We start from the raw sequence: 26,317 nt of genomic DNA, 5'->3' as shown, positions 1-26,317 counted from the left end.
TTCCAAGACAGGAGCAGTGCAGAGGGAGCAGCTTCCAAGAATCCTTTTCATTACTTCACCAAAGAAGCCGCATGTATTACCTTTGCCCAAACTCGTGATAGCTTCAAGCTTTAGGGCTGTGAGCTGGCAGGAGACCCTCGCTCCAGCCACCCTCGCTCTATTCTGCTGATCAGCCATTCTGATAGATACTGCTTTGATCGACTAAAAAACGGGCATGACCAGGCACAGAAAGACAAACACCTCATGATCTTTCTATGTAGAATCTAGAAGAGTCAAATTCACAGAAAGAGAGAATGGAACAGGCTGGGGGTGGGGGCAGGGGAGGGTGGGGAGATGTTGGTCAAAGAACACACAATTTCAGCTGAAAAGAAGGAAGTTCAGTGATCTATTGGGCGTCATGGTGACAGCAGTTAACAACAGCCTATTGTGTTCTTGAAAATCGCTGAGAGTAGATTTTAGTTCTCACCACACACAAAAGAAATGCTAAGTATGTGAGGCCGTGCCTGTGTTGAATAGTTTGACCGAGCCACTCCACAGTGTACACACACATATCAAATCCTCATGCTGTGTACCGTAAATACATACAATTTTTACTTGTCAATTAAACAGCAGCACACACAAAAACAAGATGAAACAAAACAACAGGTGGACAGACAATGGCTAGGTTAACACCACTGGTTGGTTTAGTGGACCAGAGGTTTTGAAAAATGGGACCTGGCACGTGGCTGGCTGCCTTAAAGGCTGTCTGTATCCCTGTGTATTTGAAATGTTCCTTTTAAAAAAAAAAAAAAGCAGTGATGACATGCTCCCTTGGAATCCACAGAGGAAAAAAAACAAAAGGGATGTCTGGAGGTGAAAATATTGCAAAGTTCTCATCTCCTCTAACCACTCACTATTATTATTACTATTAGCATTAATAGTTCACCCAGTGACAAATTCTCGAAACCAGCACTGCCTGGTAGAAGTTTCTGTGATGGTGGAGAAGTTCCCTAATCCATGCCGAGCATCGGGAGCTGCAAACCAGGCCAGGGCAGTGAGTGCTGATGGGGGACTGAGCTGTTAACTTCATTTAGATTAGTTAACTTAAATTTAAATAGCCATGTGTAACTGGTCAGTGGCTATCGTACTGGACCATGTGGCTCAAATCTAATATCTGTGGAGAACCACCGTGGGCCAGGCACCGTTCTCGGTGCTGGGGAATTGAAAATGAGCAAAACCAACAGGAGCATGTCTGCCCTCTGGACACTCACAGGCCACTGGGGGAGACAGATGTTAGTTAAATAATTACACAAACATGCCTGCAATCCCAGCACGTTAGGAGGCAGAGACAGGCGGATCACTTGAGGTCAGGAGTTTGAGACCAGTCTGGCCAATATGGTGAAACCCTGTCTCTACTAAAAATACAAACATTAGCCGGGCGCGGTGGCGGGCATCTGTATTCCCAGCTACTCAGGAGGCTGAGGCAGGAGAATAGCTTGAACCCGGGAGGTGGAGGTTGCAGCAAGCTGAGATCGCAGCAAGCTGAGATCGCACCGCTGCACTCCAGCCTGGGCGACAGAGCGAGACTCTGTCTAAAAAAAAATTACACAAAAGAATGCAAAGTTGCAATTGTGACCTGGGCAGTGATGGGCAGCTGTATGGTGCTGTGGAATCACTGCTCAGGCAAGTCCAGGAATCGAAGCGTGAGCTGCCATGTGTGGGAAGGGTAGGAGTTGCCGATGACAGGCAGAGAAGCAGGGGTGAATGCACCCAGCGGGGAGACTAGCACGCGCAAAGGTCCCGCAGCAGGAAGGAGCGAGGACGCTGGACGCTGAGCAGCGTGGCTGGGCAGGGCGAGGAGGAGGAGGGGAGTGCTGGGGCGGGGTGGGGGATTGATCTGCTCTCCCTTTGCCCTCCCTGCAGCCATGGTGACCCTCGCTGGGATCAGCGTCTACATAGCGTATTCAGCCGCCGCCTTCCGGGAGGCGCTGTGTCTCTTGGAGGAGAAGGCCCTCCTGGACCAGGTGGACATCAGCTTCGGCTGGTCCCTGGCCCTGGGCTGGATCAGCTTCATCGCCGAGCTGCTCACCGGGGCAGCCTTCCTGGCAGCAGCCCGCGAGCTCAGCCTGAGACGGAGGCAGGACCAGGCCATATGAGCCTGGGCGCTGGGTCGTGGAGGGGAGGGAGGGGCTTGGCCCCGGAGCTTCACCGACCGATCTCCATCGGCTGCGGCCTCTTCTTCCTCAAAGGCCACTCGGGGAGGCCAGGCACCCCCCTCCTTCCCCCACAAATCCCCGCGGACTAAGCTTGGGGCCTGGCTGTTATCCTAGTACCTGTGTGCTTATGTCCGTGTGTGTCCGTGTGGCCTGGAGGAGCCCGAGGGAGTGCCAAACCGCTTCGCGAGAAATAAAAACGATCCTTTAATCACACACAGAGCTTTACAGATTGCAAAGTCCTCACGCCCCCTCCGACTTCATTTCCTCCTCACCCATGTCCCTTGGATCAGCTCCTTGGTGGGTCTGGGAAAGGGAGAGGGTGCCCTACCTCCTGGGCCCTGTAATGCGTTCAGCTCTCTCTGGGGAGCTCTGGCCTGGAGTTCCTTTTGCTCTAAAATAACTCTGGCATGACATGGGCTTTCTACGGGGTCAGGTTAGGTCTACAATATGAAGCTGCGAGACTCCCAAGGGGTTGGCCAATTGATAGAGCACTCTTCAAGACTAATCATACCTTTTCCGTCCTCCCCCAGAAAAATCCATCCCTCCTTTCATCCTGGTGTTCTGCCCCTGGGAATGGGCTCCCCATCCGGGTCCCCTGGGGCAGTGCTGTTCACATTTAGCGCGCCCCAGACTCTATGGGCTTGTTGATACTCTCGGGCTGATGCCACCCCCAGGGTGTCTGAGCCAGGAGGCCTGGGTGAAGCCCAAAAACTCACATTTCTAAGTGGCTTCCAGGCGATGCCGAGGCTTCTGGCCCAGAGCCACTGTTTGCATAAATGCCGAGGTGGGGCGTTTATTAAGTGACAGAGAAGGGTTGTCATCTTGCTGCTCTTAGAATCACCTGGGTATCTTCCAAAAATCCTGCTGCTGTCTACATCCTTGATCTGATATTCTCTAGGGCTGGTGTCCAGGCATCAGTGTTTTTTAAGAGCTCTCCAGCCTATTCTAACCCAAAACCATGGCTGAGATTCTGTTCCTGCAAGATTCCAAGTCATGAGATGTAGGGGAGGGCCCGAGGAGCCTTTGGCTTAGGAAACTCTGGGAGGTGCTGATGGTTTGGGGAATACTGGTGTGGATTAAAAGATGACAACACGATTATCAACAATATGGCATCATCGTCTTCATCATGACATCATCATCACCATGACGTCAACACTGTCATCATCATAGCTGACACCCACTGAGTACTTTCTATGCACCTGTGCTATTCTCCATGCCAGTCGGTCAGTCAGTCATTCAACAAACATCATGACATCATCACCACCATGCCATGACATCACCACCACAACGACATGACACCACCATGACATCAGCATTGTCATCATTATAGCTGACATCCACATCTATGCACCTGTGCTATTCTCCACGCCAGTCGGTCAGTCAGTCATTCAACAAACACTCAAAGGAAGGCCAGTACACACCAGCAACTGGGGGGGCAATGACTCCTCCAGACCCAGACCTTGCTCTCTGGGGTGCCACATGATTGAGGAGAGAGAGGCATATGAAATACGTAGCCCGTGGTGAGGACTAGGAGATAAGCAAAGCAGGGTACAGATGAGGAAACTGAGGCACTGGCAGGTTAACATAACTGGACTAAGGGCATAAGGAGAGAAAGGGACGCAACTGGGAGTAAACTTCAGAACTGCCTGATCCCAAGATGGTCCTCCCCCTACTTCCACCAACGCCTGCACTTCTTTACTGGCTGTCTGCTCCTTTCAGGACGTTGCTGCGACGTCCCTGTCTAATCCGGAAAGGCGCAAAAGGAGTGGGTTACTCACATGGCCACATGGGGCTAAATGAGCGCTGTTGGAAAATCAGTTACAATGCTGGGGAAAACAAAGTTTTTGCAAAGTGAGGGCAACCATGCTACCGAAAGGGCGGTCTCTGCTTCCACCTGCTGGTCGTATTGTGGAACTGCTCCAGAGGCAGGATTTGATCCCCAAATTCGTCAAGAGACACGTTTTCAGCCCTCCTAGCGCCCAAGTGCTGGATTAAATACTGCAGGGCCAGAGTTCTCAGCTGGGGCGATTCTCTCCCCCACCTGACATTTGGCAGTGTTTGGAGACAGTTTTGGTTGTTCTTAGTGCGTGTGGGGAGTGGTATTACCGGCAGCTCCAGTGGGAAGAGGCCAGGGATGCTCCTCGCATCCTATGATGCTCAGGACATCTGGTCCCACACGTCCACCTTGGGACATGCTGAGACACTCTGCTAAGCGAGCAATAATGGACAATAACAAACCAAAACATGTGTGCACCTCAGGAACTGACAACACAGAATAAGCTCATTCATTCGCCCATCCATTCATGCATTTGATAAATGCTTGCCAGATACCTACAGTGTCAGAGACTGTTCCAGGGCCTGGGGACACATTCATGGGGGTGGCCAAGAAAATCTCCACCCTTCCTAGCTCACATGGGAACAGATGATAAACCCATGAACCAATAATCTATCTGAGAGATTCAGACAGTGATTAGTGTTATGAAGAAAACAAAACAGGGTGATGAGGCCGGGCGCCATGGCTCATGCCTGTAATCCCAGCACTTTGGGATGCCAAGACAGGCAGGTCACCTGAGGTCAGGAGTTCGAAACTAGCCTGGCCAACATGGTGAAACCCCATCTCTACTAAAAATACAAAAAAAAAAAAAATAGCCAGCTGTGGTAACACGCGCCTGTAATCCCAGCTACTTGGGAGGCTAAGGCAGGAGAATCACTTGAACCCAGGAGGTGGAGGTTACAGTGAGCCGAGATCGCACCATTGCGCTCCAGCCTGGGTGACAGAGTGAGACTCCATCTCAAAAAAAAAAAAAAAAAAAAACCAGGGTGATGGGATGAAAGGTGTCTGGTAGAGATGTGACTCCAGGAAGGACAATTAGAAAGGGCTTCTTGGAGGAGGTGACATTGTGCTGAGACCCGCATGAAGAACCTGTAGGTAGGGAAACTGCAGACCAGGCAGGTGACAGCAGACGCAAAGGCCCTGAGGTGGGAAGAAGCTTCTGTGTTAGAGGGAAATGAAGAGGGAGGGTTGATGGAGAGAAATAGGAGGTGAAGGTAGAGGCAGGGAGAGAGAAGGCAGTGGGCGATGCCCATGGCCCGTGGTAAGGAGGTGCTGATGATTAAGTGGGGTTGGGATGCTGTTCCATTCTGTTCTGTTCTGTTCTATCCTGATCCATTCTGATCTGTTCTATTCTGATCCATTCTGTTGTGTTCTGATCCATTCTGATCTGTTCTATTCTGATCCATTCTGTTGTGTTCTGATCCATTCTGATCTGTTCTCTTCTATTCTGATCCATCATTCTATTCTGACCTGTTCTGTTCTATTCTGATTTTTTTTTTTTTGAGACTGCGTCTAGCTCTGTCACCCAGGCTGGGGTGCAATGGCTCAATCTCGGCTCACTCCAACCTCTGCCTCCCAGGTGCAAGTGATTCTCCTGCCTCAGCCTCCCCAGTAGCTGGGACTACAGGCACGCACCACCATGCACCATGCCTGGCTAATTTTTTGTATTTTTAGTAGAAATGCGGTTTTACAGTGTTAGCCAGGATGGTCTCGATCTCCTGAGCTCATGATCCACCTACCTTGGCCTCCCAAAGTGCTGGGATTACAGGCGTGAGCCACCGTGCCTGGCCCGATCCATTCTGTTTCGATCTGTCCTGCCGTATTTTAATCCATTGGATTGGTTCTGTTCTATTCTGATCCATTTTGTTCTGATCTGTTCTGTTCCATTCTGTCTTGTCCTCTCCTCTTCTATTTTCTTATTCCACTTGGACTCTCTCTTGAGAGTGATATGCCTTTAAGACAGTGGTTCTCAACCCTGGCTCTACATTAGCATCACGTGGGGGTCCTATTTAAAAAACAACCAGTTGCTAGCACTGGGGCCCCAATGGAGCCAAATGCAATCAGACCCTCGAGGGCGGACCTGGGCATTGTTATGTTCACAAAGTTCCCCAGGTGATTCTGCTGTGCAGGGGAGGTAAGAACCACTGCTCTAAGACCCTTAGGTCTGTTGTGTGAACGGACCGGCCTGCAGGGGTGAGAGTGGTTGCAGGAAGTACAGGGAGGGGCCTCCCAGGGCCAGATGAGAGGAGAAAGAACTCGGAGCAGGTGGAGGTGTGGTCAGATCCAGGTGTGCTGGACTAACCGGGGGTTAGAGGAGGGGATTTATACTCATGAGAAGGTAAACAGGAGGAGGAAGTGGGACTACGGCGCGTGTCCCTTTGCTGGGGAGGCTCAGCCACGATTTGTCCCCTCAGGTCCAGACCTGGCTGGAACCCCTGGCAAACAACTGGCCGCTCTCTTTCTCTCAGAGAAGGCGCTCTATCTGGCAAAGAAGATCCATTCATTTATTCACTCATTCATTTATTCACTTGCCACCCACCCATCCATTCATTTACTCACTCATTGCTTCACTTATTTATATATTCATGCACGCATTCAGTCTTTGTTCATTCATAAGTTCACTTGCTTATACCTGTCCCATGCTTCATTCATTCACTCACTTATTCATTTATTCATACATTTTCCCATTAATCAATTCACTCATCCATCCATGCATCCATCCACCCATCCATCATTATCCATCCATTTGCTTACCCACTCACTCACTCACTTATTCACTCAGTCATTAATTTACTCATTCACTCACTCACTCATTCACTCACTCACTCACTCATTCACTCACTCATTCACTCACTCATGTATTCACTCAGTCACTTATTTACTCATTCACTCACTCACTCTTTCACTCCCTCACTCACTCATTCACTCACCCATTCCCTCACTCACTCATTCCCTCACTCAGTCACTCATTCACTCATTCACTCACTCACTCATTCACTCCCTCCCTCCCTCATTCATTCACTCACTCATTCACTCACTCATTCCCTCCATCACTCACTCACTCATTCACTCACTCATTTACTCACTAATTCACTCACTCACTCATTTACTCATTCACTCACTCATTCACTCATTCCCTCCCTCCCTCACTCACTCATTTACTCACTCATTCACTCACTCACTCATTCACTCACTCATTCACTCATTCCCTCCCTCCCTCACTCACTCATTTACTCACTCATTCACTCACTCACTCATTCACTCACTCATTCCCTCCCTCCGTCACTCACTCATTTACTCACTCACTCATTCACTCACTCACTCATTCCCTGACTCATTCACTCATTCCCTCCCTCCGTCACTCACTCATTTACTCACTCATTCACTCATTCATTCCCTCCGTCCCTCCCTCACTCATTTACTCACTCACTCATTCCCTCCCTCCCTCACTCACTCATTTACTCACTCACTCATTCACTCACTCACTCATTCCCTCACTCATTCACTGACTCATTCACTCACTGACTCATTCTCTCACTGACTCATTCTCTAACTCACTCATTCACTTATTTCATCACTCATTCACTTATTTCATCACTCATTCACTTATTTCATCACTCATTCACTCACTCACTCATTCACTAACTCACTCATTCACTAACTCACTCATTCACCCACTCACTCATTCATGCACTCACTCACTCATTTACTCACTCATTCACTAACTCATTCACTCACTCATTCACTAACTCACTCATTCACTTACTTATTTCCTCACTCATTCACTCACTCACTCATTCATGCACTCACTCACTCATTTACTCATTCACTCACTCATTCAGTCACTCATTTACTCATTCACATACTCATTCACTCACTCATTCCCTCCCGCCCTCCCTCACTCACTCATTCACTCATTCACTCACTCATTTACTTACTCGTTCACTCACTCATTTACTCATTCCCTCACTCACTCATTCATTCACTCACTAATTCACTCACTCACTCATTCACTCATTCCCTCCCTCCCTCCCTCCCTCCCTCACTCATTCACTCACTCACTCATTCCCTCCCTCCCTCACTCATTTACTCACTCAGTCATTCACTCACTCATTCCCTCACTTATTCACTGACTCATTCATTCACTCACTGACTCATTCACTCACTCACTCATTCACTAACTCACTCATTCACTTACTCATTCACTTACTTATTCGCTCACTCATTCACTCACTCATTTACTCATTCACTCACTCATTCAGTCACTCATTTACTCATTCACACACTCATTCACTCACTCATTTCCTCCCTCCCTCAGTCACTCATTCACTTACTCACTCATTCACTTACTCATTCACTCACTCTTTTCCTCCCTCCCTCAGTCACTCATTCACTTACTCACTCATTCACTTACTCATTCACTCACTCATTCACTTACTCATTGCCTCACTCATTCACTCACTAATTAACTCACTCGTTTACTCATTCACTCACTCATTCACTCATTCCCTCCCTCCCTCACTCACTCATTTACTCACTCATTCACTCACTCATACCCTCCCTCCCTCACTCACTCATTTATTCACTCACTCATTCCCTCACTCATTCACTGACTCATTCATTCACTCACTGACTCATTCACTCACTCATTCACTTACTTATTTGCTCACTCATTCACTCATTCATTCACTCATTCACTCACTCATTTACTCACTCACTCACTCATTCAGTCACTCATTTACTCATTCACACACTCACTCATTCACTCACTCATTCCCTCCCTCCCTCACTCACTCATTCACTTACTCATTCACTTACTCATTCACTCAATTTACTCATTCACTCACTCATTCCCTCACTCACTCATTCATTCACTCACTCATTCACTCACTCCTTCCCTCCATCACTCTCTCACTCATTCACTCACTCATTTACTCACTAATTCACTCACTCACTCATTTACTCATTCACTCACTCATTCACTCATTCCCTCCCTCCCTCACTCATTTACTCACTCATTCACTCACTCACTTATTCACTCACTCATTCCCTCCCTCCCTCACTCATTTACTCACTCATTCACTCACTTACTCATTCACTCACTCATTCCCTCCCTCCTTCACTCACTCATTTACTCCGTCACTCATTCCCTCCCTCCCTCACTCACTCATTTACTCACTCACTCATTCCCTCACTCACTCATTCCCTCACTAATTCATTGACTCATTCATTCACTTACTGACTGATTCATTCACTCACTCACTCATTCACTCACTCACTCATTCACTTACTTATTTCCTCACTCATTCACTCACTCATTGACGCACTCACTCATTCACTCACTCACTCATTAACTCACTCATTCAGTCACTCATTTACTCATTCACATACTCATTCACTCACTCATTCCCTCCCTCCCTCACTCACTCATTCACTCATTCACTCACTCACTTATTCACTCACTCATTTACTCATTCACTCACTCACTCATTCCCTCACTCACTCATTCATTCACTCACTAATTCACTCACTCACTCATTCACTCATTCCCTCCCTCCCTCACTCACTCATTTACTCACTCATTCACTCACTCACTCACTCATTCCCTCCCTCCCTCACTCATTTACTCAGTCACTCATTCACTCACTCACTCACTCATTTACTCACTCATTCACTGACTCATTCACTCACTCACTGACTCATTCACTCATTCACTAACTCACTTATTCACTAACTCACTCATTCACTCACTCATTCACTTACTTATTCGCTCACTCATTCACTCACTCACTCATTCATTCACTCACTCATTTACTCACTCATTCACTCACTCACTCATTTACTCACTCATTCACTCACACATTCAGTCACTCATTTACTCATTCATATACTCACTCATTCACTCACTCATTCCCTCCCTCCCTCATTCACTCATTCACTTACTCACTCACTCATTCACTTACTCATTCATTCACTCATTTACTCATTCACTCACTCATTCACTCACTCATTCCCTCACTCACTCATTCATTCACTCACTCATTCACTCACTCATTCACTCCCTCCTTCACTCACTCATTCACTATTCACTGATTCACTCATTACCTCACTCACTCATTCATTCATTCATTCCCCCACTCATTGCCTTCCTCCCTCACTCATTCATTCACTGATTCATTTATTCACTCGCTCACTCATTCATTTATTCACTCATTCATTCACTTATTCACTCACTTGTTCATATAGTTATTCATTCATTCACTTACTCATTCATATGCTCATCGACTCATTCATTCAACAGTGACTTCTTTGATGCCTGATGTGCCAGGTGCTGTTTGAAACACCAAGGATTTAGCAGTGAACAAAAGTGACTCAAAACCTGCCTTTTGAAGCTGACATTCTGGGGTCTGTGCATGTGTGTGTATGAGTGCACGGGTATGACAGACAGTAAACATGGCTGGTGGAATGCGGGGTATGCTTCCTGGTAAGAAGTTCTGTAAAGCAGATGGGGAGAAGGTGGCAGGGAAGAGTGTGTTGTACGATGAAAATAATGTCCTGTCCAGTCTTTTGAGAGACCAGAAACTCTTCCTCCTAATTTTGCCTTGATTAACTAGCTCAATAAGTGTTGCCCAAGACTGTGCTATAGGCAAGGGAAGGGGAATCTCCCTAGGGCTGGACAGACAGGAGTAGACTGAAAACCCAGTGTTATGGTTTGGCTGTGTCCCCACCCAAATCTCATCTTGAGTTGCAGTTCCCAGAATTCCAGGAGGGACCCTGTGCGAGATAATCGAATCATGGGAGCAGTTTCCCCCATACTGTTCTCGTGGTAGCGAATAAGTCTTAAGAAACCTGATGGTTTTTAAGAGGTTTCCCTCTTTTGCTTGGCTCTCATTCCCTGTCTCGCCTGCTGTGATATAAGACGTGTCTTTTGCCTTCTGCCATGATTGTGAGGCCTCCCCAGCCACGTGGAACTGTGAGTCCATTAAATCTCTTTTTCTTTATAATTTACCCAGTCTCAGGTATGTCTTTACCAACAGTGGAGAACAGACTAATACACCCAGCCTCAGTCCCCAATGCTGACTTTGGTGCCTTCTCCTGGAGGTGAACGTTGGGGCTGATGGGGGATCCCAGACATAGTGAGGGCCCCCTGGAAACTTGCCAAGCATGTTCTCATGCCCTGAATGACAGACAGGAGCCTGAGGCCCACAGAAGGAGAAGACTTGCTCTGGTAGAGGCTGATAGTGAGAGAAACCAGGGTGAGACTCGAACTCCAGCCTCAGAATCTCCCTTTGACATCCCGGGCTACCTCCCTCCCTTTCTTCCTTGAGAATAAACAACCCGCCTTTTGGAGCCAGCAGGAAGTGCGTCCTCTGTGCCCAGCCCCTAGTCGCTGAGGATGGGCCACCCTGGCATGCAAACTTTTGTTAACATGGCCAAGCACTTTAGAGATTCCAGGGCAAGTTCCAAGGCTCATCTGACCCTTGCCACTGTCCAAGGAGAGGATGCCCACCCTCGCTCCCACTGATGGACAAGCCAACAGAAACTCAGGGAGGTCAAGGATGCATCCAAGATCACTGGGCATGCTGGGCACAGTGCCTCACACCTGTAATCCCAACAATTTAGAAGGCCAAGACAGGAGGATCGCTTGAGCCCAGGAGTTTGAGCCCAGCCTAAGCAACATAGCAAGACCCCATCTCTACAAAAAAAAAATAATAAAAAATAGCCGGGTATGGTGGTGTGCACCTGTAGTCCCAGCTACTCAGGAGGCTGAGGTGGGGGAATTGAGCCTAGGAGGTCGAGGCTGCAGTGAGCTGTGATGGCACCACTGCACTCCAGCCTGGGTAACAGAGTGAGACCCTATCTCAAACAACAACAACCACAACAAGATCATTAGCCAGAAGTTTCCAGAACAGAGACGCAAAGCCCGGTCTTCTGAGTGCCCAGCTAAGCCGCCCACTTCTGCCTCCCATTCAGCCACCCCAGGCTCCCGACTTCTCACCTTTGGGGTCTAAAGAGCCCCATGGGGATCTCAGTCCTTGTCCTGGTGCTGCAGCTTCTGTCATGGAAACCTGGGCTTCACGCACACACAGCTCCTCCATCATCAGCAGAACGAAGTCGGCAGCATCGCAACTGCAGGGCTCAGCCACCTTCTCCTTGTGAGGGTGGCATGGGGATTCTGTTAGAACATCGACGTCTGTCCCACATTCATTTCTATTTCCTCAATGAAATGCTTCTTTTAACAGAGTACTCAGAGCCCACAAGAGAAACAACGCTTTGATGACTGATAAAATATTCATGCATTGAAAAAGCCGACTCCCCTATCCGCTTCCACCTTTGTTCCTTGGTGGAGTTTGCTCCCTCCTGCACCCACTGGATTGCTGGGTCCTTGCTTGGAAGTAGCAGCTCAGGGAGCCCATGGCGGGCCGAGGATTCACCTGTAATGCTTGAAGCAGCCATTGTTTTTTTCTCCACAGCTGGGACGTTGGTCCTGATCTGTGCGATGGAAGCAGCTAGTCTCAGAACTGGGTGGAATTAAGGCAGGGTCCGGCGGCTCACGCCTATAATCCCAGCGTTTTGGGAGGCTGAGGTGGGCGGATCACTTGAGGTTATGAGTTGGAGACCAGCCTGGCCAACACGGTGAAACCCCGTCTCTGCTAAAAATACAAAAATTATCCGGGCGTAGTGGCGCATGCGTATAGTCCCAGCTAACCAGGAGGCTGAGGCAGGACAATCACTTGAACCTGGGAAGAAGAGGTTGCAGTGAGCCGAGATCATGCCACTGCACTCCAGCCTGGGTGACACAGCAAACTCCATCTCAAAAAGAAAAATAAAAAGAGGCCGGGTGCAGTGGCTCACGCCTTTAATCCCAGCACTTTGGGAGGCTGAGGTGGGTGGATTACAAGGTCAGGAGATCGAGACCATCCTGGCTAACATGGTGAAACCCCGTCTCTACTAAAAATACAAAAAAAAATTAGCTGGGCATGGTGGCACGTGCCTGCAGTCCCAGCTACTCGGGAGGCTGAGGCAGGAGAATTGCTTGAACCCAGGAGGCAGGGGTTGCAGTGAGCCGAGATCATGCCATTGCACTCCAGCCTGGGTGACAGAGTAAACTCCATGTCGAAAAAAAAAAAAAGAACTGGGTGCAATCATACTGGCATCTGATCTTCCACCTTCTGTCAATGGGGCCCTGAGAGGTGGGGTGAAATGCTCAGGGTGGGTGTTGTAGTTGCTTGCCTAAATAGGGGACTGTTGGAGGTTCAAGCATGTGCCCCAAAAAGATCATGTTGAAATTGTAACTTCACTACCTATAAATGTGACCTTACTTAGGAAAAGCGGTCTTTACCGGTGTAATTACTATAGTTAAGATGAAGTTACATTGGGTTAGGGTGGGCCCTAAAACCAATGACTGGTGTCTTTCTAAGAAGACCATGTGAGGATGGAGAGATACACAGAGAGAAGGCCACATGAAGACAGAGGCAGGGGTTGGAGAGATGCTGCCACAAGCCAAGATGCACCTGGAGCCACCAGGAGCTGGAATAGGCAAAGAAGGATCCTCCACTGGAGTCCTCAGAGGGTGCATGGCCCACCTGACACCTTGATTTTGAACTTTGTTTTTTTTCTTTTTCTTTTTGAGACAGACTCTCATTCTGTTGCCTAGGCTGGAGTGAAGTGGCGTGTGCTCACTGCAACATCTGCTTCTCAGGTTCAAGTGATTCTCCTGCCTCAGCCTCCCTAGTAGCTGGGATTACAAGCATGCACCACACACCCAGCTAATTTCTGTATTTTTAGTAGAGATGGGGTTTCACCATGTTGGTCAAGCTGGTGTCGAGCTCCTGACATCAGGTGATCCGCCTGCCTTAGCCTCCCAAAGTGCTGGGATTACAGGTGTGAGCCACTGCACCTGCCTGGACTGATTTTGAAATTTGGACCTTCAGAATTGTGAGAGAATACATTTCAGTTGTTTTAAGCCACCTAATTTGTGGTGGTTTGTCAGGGCAGCTCTAAGAAGTTACTAAAGTCACTATATCACAAGATTATTTTAAAGATCAAAGTGTTAATAACAGCTCACGTTACCAGATGATGATGGCGCTTTATCTTCTTCAGTCTTCCCACGATGTCTGTGAAGTAGGTGCTGTTATTATCTTTCCCAAAATGAGGAAATTGAGGCTCAGAGGCAGGAAATAATTACCTGAGTTCATGCCCTGGGTAAGTTGGTTCTGGAAAAGGGACCAAGGCTGCTGACCAGCACCTGTGTTCTTAAGGGCCACATACATTTCTTCGTAGCTGCCTAATAAATTACCCAAGATGTAGTGGCCAAAACTAGTGACCCTTGTATATTGCTTGTGGTCTCTGAGAGTTGGGAATTGCAGAAGGACTCAGCTGGGCGATTGTGGTTTGTCCTCTTTCATGCAGTAGCTGGAGCTGGAACAGCAGGCAGTGGAGCAGCTAGGGGCAGGCTGAGCACTTCTCTCTTTACATCATCTCGGGGCCTTTCCATATGGCTCTCCCCATGGGCTACACTGGGCTTCCTGACAATATGGTAGTATCAGGGCTTTTGGGAGGCTTATATGGCAGTTCCTGGGCCCAGGGCTAGTGCTCCCATGGGCAAGGTGGAAGTTGTGTTACCTTTTGTGACCTAGTCTCAGAAGTCATATAGCATCCCTTCTGCCACAGTTACAGCCTGTTCTGATTCACAAGGAGGGAACATAGACCTCAACCTCCCTGGGAGAAGTATCAAGGTCATATTCTAACAAGGGCATGGGGGATTGGAGAGCTGCTAGAGCCACGTTTAGAAAGTACAATCTGCTACCCTCTCTGAGTGTATCCTGTTTCCTCAAGCCTCACCGATTCATTATTTCTTCCATGGGATCTCAGACACCTCCAGCTCTGGTCCCCAGCAAAATCCAACTATTTATTTGCATCCTTAGCAAGAACAGAGGCTGGAGCGGTCAGCAGGGGCCACATTACGGAAGGCCACAGGGAGGAGCATTGAGATCAATGTGAAGGGTGTTAAAAAATTGTGATAAAATACACATGACATAAAATTTACATTTCAATCATTTTAAAGTGCACACGGGTCAGGCGCGGTGGCTCACGCCTATAATCCTGGCACTTTGGGAGGCTGAGGCGGGTGGATCCCCTGAGGTCAGGAGTTCGAGACCAGCCTGGCCAACATGGTGAAACCCCATCTCTACTAAAAATACAAAAAATTAGCCATGTGTGATGGCGGGTACCTGTAATCCCAGCTATTCAGGAGGCTGGGGCAGGAGAATCACTTGATCTCGGGAGGCGGAGGTTGCAGTGAGCCAAGATCACGCCATTGCACTCCAGCCTGGGCAACAAGAGCCAAACTCCATCTCAAAACAACAACAACAACAACAACGACAAATAAAGTGCACACAACTCAGTGGCATTCAGTACATGCACAGTGTCATGCAACCATTGCCACCATCTAGTTCTAGAACATTTTCATCCCCAAAGGATGAAAAGGATGAATGTTTTCACCCCTTTTCAACCCAAAAGGAAACCCAGTGGGGAGTTCTATGGAGGAGGCGATACTTTTGTGCCCTAGAAGGATCTCTGTCTATAGCTTGAGTGATGGGCTGGAGCAGCGGGGGCTGGTATAACTGCAGGGACAAAGGCCGGCAGAGGGGCTGATACTTGTGTAGATGAGAGAATGTGGGCAGAGCTGGCGGGAAGGAGAGAAGAATTCAGACTTGGCATTTACGAGGTAGAATTGATGGACTGGGTGAGTGATGGATGCAGGAAGAAGAGACCGGGTTCTCAGATGAAATATGAGTATGGATGGTATTATGATTCACAGAGCTGGAAAATGCCAGGAGGCATGCCGACAGGTGGTGTTGAAGGAGGGGAGTAGATAGTAAATTCATGCTGGAAGACAGCGCTTCAGACACTGTGGGGACATCCAAGATGGACACGTCCAAGAGGCAGTTGGAGATACTTCTTAGGGTGAGGCCAACCAGGCTTTCCCAACCTTGGTACTAGTGACATTTGAGGCCAGATATTCTTTGTTCTTGGGAGCTTCCTTCTGTATTGTAGGCTGTTTGGCAGAATCCCTGGATTCCACCCAGTAGATGCCAACTGCATCCCCCCTTTGCAATTATGACAACCAAAAACGTCTCCAGATATTGCCAGGTGTCCCCTGGAAGACACGATTGTCCTGGTTGAGAATTACCTGGTCAGATGCATGGGGAGTCATCGACGTGAAAACAATAGTGAGATAGGCAGCAGATATAACTGGACCCCGGACCAGATTGAAGACTGGTGGAAGCTGGGACGAGGAACCAAAAGACGCATCTACCAGCGCCATGACAGTTTACCATTGCCATGACAACACCCAGAAATTACTGCCCCTTGCCTTGCCATGGCAACACCTCCCCACCACCCGGAAATTACTGCTCATTTTCTAGCTGATTCTGAAAGGCTGCTCCTTAATTAGTATATCATTAAAAGTGGGTATAAAGACGACTGCAAAACTGCCCTGAGCTGCTACTCTTAGCACATTGCCTGTGGGGTAGCCCTGCTCTTGCAGGAGCAGTCACGGAGCTGCAACCCTGCCACCTCCTCAATACAGCTGTTTTCTTCTACCACAGGCTTGCTCTTGAATTCCTTCCTGGGCTAAGCCAAGAACTTACCCTGCATCAGTAGTGCATACCTTTGGGATGTATGAGGTGCTCAGAAAGTCAGCATCACATGTGAAGAGAGAAGAGCTCAGGAAATGTGCATGATAAACACCAACTCACATGGGCAAAACCAGAGAAAACCACAAAGGTTACTGTGAAGGAGAGACCTGGGAGGAGAGGGGAGGGAAACCCCATGAGTGGGAAGGCCCTGGTACTGAAGGCTGCCTCACCTTCTGACTTCCAGCCATCTATGAGACCATATTTCCACGTTTACTTCTGGGGGTCTGCAGAGCATAGGGGCTCAAGGCACAGGCTCTATAGGCATTTGAACACCCAGCTGTGGTACGAAGGACAAACTGCTTAAGCTCTTCGTCCCTCAACTTCCTCATCCTTAAGACAGCACTAACATCAGTGCCTACCCTCAGGGTTGTTGTGGCCGTTGCATAAGTTACAGCAGGCAAAGTACGTAGAACAGGACTTCTCATCTGTGAGTGCTAAGCCAGTGTCAGCTGCTTTTAGGATTCTTATTTGACTCATTTCCAGGATTTTGAACCTGGCCTCACTCCTTGGGCTTAATTAACTCCATCATTCTTACATTCAGCAAATATTATGGAAGACTTAGTATGCACCAGCAGACACTGTCCGTGGGGAGCGAAAGAGAAGCAGAGCCAACCCCACAGAAAGCACGGCTGGGGGTGGAGGATCAATCAAGTGTCACACGTATGATTCCAAATGGAGATAAGTGCTATGAAGGGGCTATGAGAGGTCAAGAAGGAGATTCTCTCTCTCTGGTCAGCAATGGTGCCTCATTTTTATTATTATTATTATTATTATTATTATTAGAGACAGAGTTTGGTGCAATCATAGATCACTGCAGTCTTGAACTCCTGGTCTCAAGCGATGCTCCTGCCTTGGCCTCCCAAAGGGCTGGAATTGCAGGCTTGAGCCACTCTGTCCGCCCCTACCCCTTTTTTTCCCTGAAATCACATGACCTCATCTGTTTGCAGGGCCCAGGCAGTGAATAAAGGGGAAAATTAAAGAACAGAAGCCCTTTCAAATGCATCTCTTATTGTTCTGTTACAGTGAAGTAGTCTTAGGGAGGCCAAGTCGGGTGGATCACCTGAGCTCAGGAGTTCAAGATCAGCCTGGGCAACATGGTGAAACCCTGTCTCTACAAAAAACACAAAAATTAACTGGGTGTGGTGGCGCATGCCTGTAATCCCAGCTATTCAGGCGGCTGACACATGAGAATCGCTTGAACCTGGGAGCCAGAGGTTGCAGTGAGCTGAGATTGCACCACTGTACTCTAGCCTGGGTGACTGAGAGAGACCCTGTCTCAAAAGAAAAAAAAAAAAAGAAAAGGAAAAAATTAGCAGCCATAGTGGTGTGAGCCTGTAATTCCAGCTACTTGGGAGGCTGAGGTGGGAAGATAATGAACTTGAAAAGCTGAGATTGGGCAGGCGCAGTGGCTCACGCCTGTAATCCCAGCACTTTGGGAGGCCGAGGTGGGCGGACCATGAGGTCAGGAGATCAAGACCATCCTGGCTAACACAGTGAAGCCCCATCTCTACTAAAAATACAAAATAGGAGGCGTGATGGCAGGCGCCGGCAGTCCCAGCTACTTGGGAGGCTGAGGCAGGAGAATGGCGTGAACCCAGGAGGTGGAGCTTGCAGTGAGTCGAGATCGTGCCACTGCACTCCAGCCTGGGTGACACAGCGAGACTCCGTCTCAAAAAAAAAAGAAAGAAAAGCTGAGACTGCAGTGAGCCTAGATAGTGCCACTGCACTCCAGCCTGGGCAACAGAGTGAGACTCAGTCCCCCCAAAAAAAGATTCAAGTCCTTGAATCTTCATCTCCTGATTCTTTGGACTCTACAGCTATTTTCGTTCTCCTGAAAGACTTCTCTGGCCACAGACACCCACAGGGACCACCCGTGGCCAGATTTTCCAGAACCTCAATTTCAAAGTGATATGAAAGAATGCCCATTAAATCACAGGTCTTGATTCTTGGTCTGGAAAGCAGGGGCACTGAGCTGATGCCCCAGGGCCAGCTGAGTGTTTCTCAGACCAGAGGAATGAAACGGCTGCGATCGGCACTCTTGTGCTCTCCTGTCATCTCCATCCTGGCCTCTTCGCCAAGCAAAGGGTGAGCAACAAAGGGGAGGATGAGAAGTCGGAAGAAAAACCTGGCAGGAAGCAAGAACCTCGGCTGGATTAGCAAGTGAGCAGAGCCAAGCCATCAAAGGACCTGGATAAAAGGATGGAGATCACTCGGGGAAAGTTTAAATACAGGCAGCTTAAGTGGTAAGAGACCTAAAGTGAGTGATCAAAGACGACTTCAGAATCACAGCTCGGTGGGCCCTGGGAGCTGTTAAGCCCAAGGATCAAGGGCTGCTGGGAGGGGAGGGGAGGGGTTTGTGCAGAAACAGCAAGGTTTCACCTTCAGGGCGGAAGGCCAGGGTCCCTGAGTTAGAGAATTCAGGAGCAGGTAGGACCTTAGAGCACAGCCATTGTCTTTTTTTTTTTTTTCCTATTTATTTTGAAATAATTATAGGCTCGCAGGCAGTGGCAAAAATAGTACATAGAGTACCTTGAACCCTTCACTTATCTTTCCCCAGTGGTGACATCCTACATAACTGCAGTGCAATATCAAAGCTAGAAAATCCACATTGCAATACTGTTAGTTAAACTACAGATCTTATCTTTGTGTGTGTGTGTGTGTGTGTGCAGTTTTGTGCAAATTTCTGCTATGTATAGATTTTTGCACAGCACAATCATGAAGCAGACCTTTTCAATCACCTCAAAGGAGCTCTAAGTAGCTACCCTTTGTAGTATTTTTTTTTTCTTTTAAAGAAATAGAGTCTCACTCTGTGGTTCAGGCTGGAGAGCAGTGGAGTGAATATAGCTCACTACAGCCTCAACCTCCTGGGTTCAAGTGATGCTCCCACCTTAGCCCCCGTAGTAGCTGGGACTATAGGCACACACAACCATGCCTGGCTAATATTAAAATTTTTTTTTTTTTTTGCAGAGATAGGGTCTTGCTGTGTTGCCCAGGCTGGTCTCAAATTCCTGGCTTCAAGTGATCCTCTTGCTTCAGCCTCCCAAAGTGCTGGGATTACAGGTGTGAGCCGCTGTGCCTGGTCCCCCTTATAGTCCTTGTTTCACCCCTGGAAATCACTCCTCTGTCCTCTAGCTTTGGAGCTCTGTAATTTTGAGAATGTTATATAAATGGAACCATACAATATAGAATCTTTGGAGACTGGCTTTTCTTCACTCAGCATAATACCTTTGAGATCTATCCACTTTGTTGCATTTGCTCCTTTTCATTGCTGAGTAGTATTCCATGGTTCTGATGTAGTATAGTTTGTGTATCCAATAACCTAGTGAAGGACATTTGGGTGGCTCTCAGTTTTGCACAGTTATGGCCATGGGTTTTACATTTGGTACATGAGCTTGAATGGAGAAGTTTAATGAAACACCCCTAGAAACACACTGTTAAATTTTATTTCAGAGTATTGTTTGAGATGCTCTCATAATATCAATTGCGCTACTCTATGAAAGGTTTTGAAAAGATGAATTTTTGTCCTGCCTCACAGACAGAAAGTCAATGTTTCTTGTCAAACTTTAGTATGGTTAAATCTGAGGATACTGGGAATGTTGTCACTGATGGACTTTCTCTCTTTGCTTTGGCCACAGGAAGTTGAGTTTGGGGCCAACTGTTTATTTGTGGAATTTTCTTCTTATGCAATGCTCACCTAATTTGGCCTTGACATTTTCATCTTTGTTTTTTAATGTTAAATATTATTTTTAACTATAACAGTGTAGAGAAGGCTACACAGTGTAGGCTAAGCCACTTGCTCAGTCAGGGTCCCACCGTTACTAGGGGCTGGAGCTTGGATTCAAACACATGGTGTCTGACTAACTTATCTGAAGAACAGGCTTTTCAGAGGGTCTTGCTTGCAGCCATTCCAGGAGCGTGAAACTTGCATTTCCCCTGCCTCATGAAATTAACAAAGTCTGGCCAAATGTTTTGGCCAGAGTCTTGTTCCTGGTTCTTGGTTCTGGTAAAAACCAGAATTCTAGGGGATCCTTTCTTTGGAGAAAAAAATCCTCCAGTGCCAGAGACCGCAGCACGTTTCCTGGGAGACCCATAGCTCAGTAGAACAAGGAAGAGTGAGCGAACAGGATGGCGGGAGACCTCTGTCACCTTTGCTAGACTTTGAACTCGTTTAGGGTTAGAACCATGTATCATTCATCTTTGTAGTTCTGCAAATCAAGTACAAGGTGAGATGCAGAATAGCTGTGCCCAGGAATGTTTTGCTCAGTCTTCTACTGCGGTTCTCTCAGGAGGAGAGCAGTGGATGTTCTATCCTGTGGGTTCAGCGAGGACCACAGGGTGAAGAAGGGGATGAATCTCTCTAGCAGCCACAAGCATGTGTGGATATGGGAGTGGGCAGGAGGTGAACATTCAGAGCCCCAAGAGCTGGAGTGTTAGGAGGGACCAGTGTTTGTTTGTTTGCTTGCTTTTTTTTTTTGGTTTTTTTTTTTTTGTTTTTTTTGACGAAGTTTTGCTCTTGTTGCTCAGGCTGGAGAGCAATGGTGCGATCTCAGCTCACTGCAACCTCTGCCTCCAGGGTTCAAGCAATTCTTCTGCCTCAGCCTCCAGAGTCGCTGGGATTACAGGCATGCACCACCACACCAGGCTAATTTTGTATTTTTAGTAGAGATGGGGTTTCACCATGTTGGTCAGGCTGCTCTCAAACTCCTGACCTCATCATCCGCCCGCCTTGGCCTCCCAAAGTGCTGGAATTGCAGGCGTGAGCCACCGCACCCGGCCAGGAGGGACCAGATTTTAGATTCCAGAGAACACGAACAAAATTCTAGGGTACTGTGATGGTTAATATTAAGTGTCAGCTTGATTGGCTTGAAGGATGCAAAGTATTGTTTCTGGATGTATCTGGGTATTTCTGGCTATTGCCAGAAGAGATTATCATTTGAGTCAGTGGACTGGTAGAGGAAGACCCACCCACAACGTGGGTAAACACCATCCAATTAGCTGCCAGCACGGCTAGAAAAAGCAGGCAGAAGATGGTGGAAGAAGCTGACTTGCTGAGTCTTCTGGCCTTCATCTTTCTCCCATGATGGATGCTTCCTGCCCTGGAACATCAGATTCCAAGTTCTTTGGCTTTTGGACTCTCGGGCTTACACCAGTGGTTTGCCAGGGGATCTTGGGCCTTTGGCTACAGACTGAAGGCTGCACTGTCGGCTTCCCTGGTTTTGAGGTTTTGGGACTCGGACTGAGCCACTACTGGCTTCCTTACCCCTCAGCTTGCAGATGGACTGTGGGGGGACTTCACCTTGTGATCATGTGAGCCAATTCTCCTGAATAAATTCCCTTTTATATATATCAACATCTATCCTATTACTTCTGCCCTCTAGAGAACCCTGACTAATACAGGTAGAAGTTCTGTTACTTACTCTTCATCATGGCAAGTAAGTCTATCAATTCAGCCACCACCTGAGCACACAGACACAGAACCCCGCATACAAAAAGATAATCACTACCATTTCCTATTACAACCATCTTTCACACACATACACACACACACGAAGGAAAACATGATATCTTGGAATAAAAGGTTGAACTTTAAACAGAATGTATGTGAACTTTCTTATTTTTCTCAGTTCACACAGATCTCACTTTGAGATCATGCATTCTTTTTTTTTTTTTTTTCGAGACGGAGTTTTGCTCTTGTTGCCCAGGCTTGAGTGAAGTGGCTCAATCGTGGCTCACTGCAACCTCTGCCCCCTGGGTTCAAGCGATTCTCCTTCCTCAGCCTCCCGAGTAGCTGAGACTACAGGTGCCCACCACCACTTCGGGCTAATTTTTGTATTTTTAGTAGAGACGGGGTTTTGTCATGTTGGCCAGGCTGGTCTCGAACTCCTGACCTCAGGTGATCCACCCACCTTGGCCTCCCAAAGTGCTAGGATTATAGGTGTGAGCCACCACCCCCAACCTGAGATCATGCATTCTTTTTTTTTTTTTTTTTTTTTGAGATGGAGTCTCGTTCTGTTGCCCAGGCTGCAGTGCAGTGGTACGATCTCGGCTCACTGCAAGCTCCACCTCCAGGGTTCACGCCATTCTCCTGCCTCAGCCTCCCCAGCAGCTGGGACTGCAGGCGCATGCTGCCATGTCTGGCTAAATCTTTGTATTTTTAGTAGAGCTGGAGTTTCACTGTGTTAGCCAGGATGGTCTTGATCTCCTGACCTTGTGATCCACCTGCCTTGGCCTCCCAAAGTGCTGGGATTACAGGCATGAGCCACTGCGCCTGGCGAGATCATGCATTCTTAACCCAGGCAACAACTGGATCTCTCTCTCTCACTCCCTTTATTAAATTGGAAGATGCTTTATTTCTTTTTAACAGTAGCTCCTCCACTGACTACGTAAAATTGAAATATTTCACATGGTCATTTCTGTCAGTTAAAGTAAAACAAAGTATTTTCCATATATGGGTGTATTTTTTTTCTGTGTATATATATACATGGCAATTTTTAGCTCACTTCTCTATGGGCAAGAAAAGGACAAAAAATGCATATAAGATTTCATCTCTGCTCAGATAATTTGCTCTTAGGGGGTGAAAAAGGTCTAGGATACTACAATGGTTCGTGGCCCTGCAAAAGGTCACAGTACAGAAACAGATACACAGTGCACCTGTTCTATTATTTCAAGGGTGTGTGTGGGGTGACGATTAGGAAAAAAAGTTTAAAAGACTCATCAGGGAGGTAATAATAATAAAAGGTTGTAAAGCCATGCTGTACATGGCTAGTATCTGAGAATCATTGACCTTGACTGTAGGAAGCTATAGAGGTGCCACCCGGCACTCAAGAAACATGTGTTATAATTGCCAGAGTTTGCTATGGGTCAGGCACACTGCCAGACCCTTCAAATGAATCATTTCACAGCAACCCTGAGAGGCAGGAACTCATATTATGTCCTTTTCACAAATGAGAAAATCCAGGGGTGGAGAGGCTAACTAAGCCCCTTGCTCAGTCAGGGTCCCACCGTTAATAGGGGCGGGAGCTTAGATTCAAACTCACGGTGTCTAAGTAACTTATTTGAAGAACAGGCTTTTCAGAGGGTCTTGCTTGCAGCCGTTCCAGGAGCGTGAAACTTGCACTTTCCCTTTCCTCATGAAATTAACAAAGTCCGGCCAAATGTTTTGGCCAGAGTCTTGTTCCTGACGTTTCTATCACCTGGACTGGGAATCATTTCCACAGCCCCAGCAAATCCAGATGTTGGAGGTCAAAAGAGCAGGCCACAGGCCCATCAAAGGAATGATGGGCCTCCCAAGCCCAGCAAGTAAGAGGGGTTTCTCAGCTGTGAACTTGCCTGTTGGTATCCTGATGAGAGTCTCTCATGGTAATTAAATAACCATGACTGTGGTCCGCACTTCCCCGAGACTTCACTCAGAGGCCACGCAAGGACCTCCTCCTGCCTGAGAAGACAACCTTGCCAACCTTTGTGTTCAGTAAAGAGAGCGTGCTGGCTGGGTGCGGTGGCTCATGCCTGTAATCCCAGCACTTTGGGAGGCCGAGGCGGGTGGATCACAAGGTCAGGAGTTCAAGACCAGTCTGGCCAAGATGGTGAAACCCTGTCTCTACTAAAAATACAAAAATTGGCCAGGCGTAGTGGCGGGTGCCTGTAATCCCAGCCACTCTGGAGTCTGAGGCAAGAGAATAGCTTGAACCCAGGAGGCAGAGGTTGTAGTGAGCTGAAATTGCACCACTGCACTCCAGCCTGGGTGACAGAGCGAGACTCCGTCTCAAAAAAAAAAAAAAGAAAGAAAGAAAGAAAGAAAGAAAGCGCGTCTCTTCAGGGGCAATGGGAATGCATTTCAGGACAAGGAAGGGCCTCCACGGAGACAAAATCTGGTCTAGAGTTCTTGCTTAACCCCTTTGGAGAAATCCTGGTTGATGCTTTCTGCCCTTCCTTACTCCTCATCCTCCACACAGCTGCTGGGATGGTGTCTTTAATGCAAAAATCATGACAACTTTCAGCTCAAAAATTCCTTGACGACCCCCCTTTTCCCCCAGCCGTATTTGCTGTCAATGAGACCACACGATCCCTCAACAGAATTCTGGAAAAGAGCCTGAGGACACTTACCTGCAGCAACCATTATATGCAGACTGGATAAACATTCTAATGGGTCTTGTACATACAAGTATTTTATGTAATGCTTAGATACCTTTACCCAAGGCTCAGTTGGCTGTGGCTTTCCCCTGTCCTCCCAGCTAGCTTTAGAAATAAACGCAGCCCAACCAAATAAGAACAAGAAAAAGCTATTTATTCAGAGCTTGCCATAGCAAGGGAGTCAGCCAGCATCACTTGCGTTTTGGCAGACACTCAAAGGAAGATAGAGGAGAGCGAAACCTTTATTGCAGAAGAAAAAGAAGACTTGGTGTGCTCTGATTGCAGCTGTTGTCATGGGGAACCTGAAGGTGGGATAATTACAAGTGGTCATCTGCTGTGATCTGGTAGGGGTATCTGGTTAGCTTTCTTGGGTTTATCCCCAGTTGGATACAGGGACAAAAATTTTAGGGAAGCTGTTAGTTATTATTTGAACCCTGGGCATTTGGGACTGATTGTTACTGGGGTTGTTGCTTGGCTTCCTGAACCAATTGCTAGAGATAGTGGCCGGACTTTCTACAAGTCTGACTTACAGAGAACAGGTTGGCACCCTGGGCTGGTTCCTGTAGATAATGTCCGGGCTGGTCGCTGCAGATTTTTGGGTCAGGGTTCATCTTTATATAGAGTCTGGCTACTGTCGGTACATTCAGTGTCTCAGGTAAACATGTAAACCTAAAGAGATCACATGAAAGTCTTGGCTCCTCATTTATACATGTTTACAATTGCTGACAGGTGACAATTAGAAGGAATGCAAATTATATGTGTTGATTTACTTACCAGTTTGAAATGAGTTAAGAAATTCTATAAAGTATACACAATCAGTCTGAAACATCGTGGTGCATGTAAAAGTGTTCTTCAGGATTGTATGTATTTATGAACATTTATGTTCTTAATATAATTGTTTTATTCATTTTGAACATTTCTTTTTTGTTTTGAGACACGGTCTTGCTCTGTTCCCAGGCTGGAGTGCAGTGACATGATCATAGCTCACTATAGCTTCCATCTTCTGGGCTCAAGTGATCCTCCCGCCTCAGCCTCCAAGGCAGCTGGGACTACAGGCACACACCACCACACTCAGCTAATTTTTAAATTTTCTGTAGAGATAGGGTCTTGCTATGTTGCCCAGGCTGGTTTCAAACTCTTGGGCTCAAGCAATCCTTCTCCCTCAACCTCCCAAAGTGCTGGGATTACAGGCATGAGCCACCATGCCTGGCTGAGCATTTATTTATGAAATCAAAGGTTTGAGAATTTTAAGAAGGGTAAAATATGTAAGAAACCAATGAAACCATAAATGAAATGGTAATATAGTTGGAGAAGGGAGATAAGATAGCTCACTGATTCTCAAAGTGTGGTCCCCAGATCAGCAGCATCAGCCTCATTTGGGAATTTGTTAGAAAAGCAAATTCTCAGACCCCACTAATGATCTACTGAATTAGAAACTCTGGGAATGACACCCA

General features: G+C 47.4%; 1 protein-coding gene across 5 annotated transcripts in view, besides 1 other annotated feature; it reads left to right on the top strand.

Moving 5' to 3' along the window:
- The window catches only part of TMEM114 (transmembrane protein 114), a 63,960-nt gene that overhangs the window by 18,604 nt on the left and 19,039 nt on the right, over positions 1 to 26,317 (top strand). For 3 of the 5 annotated variants that reach the window (NM_001290097.2, NM_001290095.2, NM_001146336.2), the window contains one exon: positions 1,903 to 2,408. The exons of 1 other annotated variant lie outside the window; for it this stretch is intronic. In NM_001290097.2, coding sequence (NP_001277026.1) covers positions 1,903 to 2,135 — 233 coding nt within the window. In that variant the 3' untranslated portion in view covers positions 2,136 to 2,408. Of the gene's footprint in view, positions 1 to 1,902; positions 2,409 to 19,700; positions 19,794 to 26,317 lie in introns of those variants that run through there. One more of the 5 variants, NR_110736.2, reaches the window with a different exon arrangement.
- Positions 18,530 to 19,262: an enhancer, noted in NCBI's record as "NANOG-H3K4me1 hESC enhancer chr16:8602648-8603380 (GRCh37/hg19 assembly coordinates)". NCBI's record gives its function as "activates a minimal SCP1, AML or CMV promoter by ChIP-STARR-seq in naive and primed H9 embryonic stem cells {active_cell/tissue: H9 hESC(naive and primed)}" and the evidence as "EXISTENCE:reporter gene assay evidence [ECO:0000049][PMID:30033119]".

This window comes from Homo sapiens, chromosome 16 (genome assembly GCF_000001405.40).
Source record: "Homo sapiens chromosome 16, GRCh38.p14 Primary Assembly".
NCBI lineage: Eukaryota > Metazoa > Chordata > Mammalia > Primates > Hominidae > Homo > Homo sapiens.
The sequence above is the reverse complement of the archived record's forward strand: the minus strand, read 5'-3'. Positions and strand labels throughout refer to the sequence as shown.